Source organism: Homo sapiens, chromosome 8, assembly GCF_000001405.40.
Source record: "Homo sapiens chromosome 8, GRCh38.p14 Primary Assembly".
Lineage (NCBI taxonomy): Eukaryota > Metazoa > Chordata > Mammalia > Primates > Hominidae > Homo > Homo sapiens.
The window spans coordinates 142,857,954-142,859,284 of NC_000008.11; the positions used below are offsets into that span (position 1 = coordinate 142,857,954).

General features: G+C 50.9%; 1 pseudogene; it reads left to right on the top strand.

Moving 5' to 3' along the window:
• ZNHIT1P1 (zinc finger HIT-type containing 1 pseudogene 1) lies at nucleotides 401-1,038 on the top strand (annotated as a pseudogene).

Here is a 1,331-nt window from a genome sequence, read left to right on the forward strand (position 1 = left end):
CCATTTTTACATTGCTGTAAAGAATACCACCCGAGACTGGGTAATTTGTAAACAAAAGAGGTTTAATTGACGCACAGTTCTGCATGGCTGGGGAGGCCTCGGGAAACTTACAATCATGGTGGAAGGCAAAGGGGTAGCAAGGCATGTCTTACATGGTGGCAGCAGAGAGAGAGAGCAGGGAAAACTGTCATTTATAAAACCATCAGATCAGTTGGGTTGTGCAAATGGTGGAGAAGAAAACTTCAGGAAGAGTGCATAGACTGAGCAGAGAAGAGGACCAGCTACCTCCGTAGAGGCAGGGAGAGCAGCCAAGCTGGAGCCTGAGCAGCATTGCTGGACATGGAGAAGGTCTGGAATCTTGTCAAGGAAGCAAGCAAAGGGTTTCTTTCTATTCAATGAAGTCCACTCCCAGGACCCTGGGCAGCAACGGGTGCTGGACTGGGCCACCTGGCAGCGTCACATCAACTGGCAGCTAGAAGTCCTGGAGAATGACAACTTCCAGGACGACCCCCATGTGGGACTCCCTCAGCTCAGCAAGAGACTGCCACAGTTCGATGATGATGCAGACACCAGACAGTAAAAGAAGAAAACCCGAGGTGATCATTTTCAACTTCACGTCCAAAAAAACTTTCAGGCCCTGCTGGAGGAGCAGAACTTGAGTGTGGCCAAGGGCCCCAACTACCTGATAGCCTGTGCAGAGTCCCTGTCGCAGCCACAGCGTTCCTTCTGTGCTGTCTGCAGCTTCCCCTCCCCCTACACCTGTGTCAGCTGTGGTGCCTGGTATTGCACCGTGTGCTGTCTGGGGACCCACCAGGAGACCAGATATCTGAAGTGGACCATGTGAGCCCGGGCATTCCTGGAGAGGAAGGGCCTCTGTGCATTGCCAGGCCTCCAAAAAGCCAGTTTCATCACCCAGTGGAGTGGGGGCTCTCCCTGGACTAAGGGAGGAGCTGCTCACTCACCTAACAAAACTGTGTCTTACTTGCTGGGAAAGACCAGCCTCACTCCTGGGAACTGTCTGGCAGGTGGGTTGGGCCCACCCAGTGCTGTTAGAATAAAAAGCCTTTGCCAGGAAAAAAAAATTTAAAAAAAAATCAGCTCTCATGAGAATTCACTCACTATTATGAGAACAGCATGGGGAATACTGCCCCCGTGATCCAATCAGCTCCCACCAGGTCCCTCCCTCAGCACTTGGGGATTACAATTCGGATTACAATTCAAAATGAGATTTGGGTGAGGACACAGAGCCAAACCACATCAGGGGTCATGTGTGCATGTTTGTTACATGGGTATATTATGTAATTGTGGGGGTTAGGCTTCTAGTCTACCCA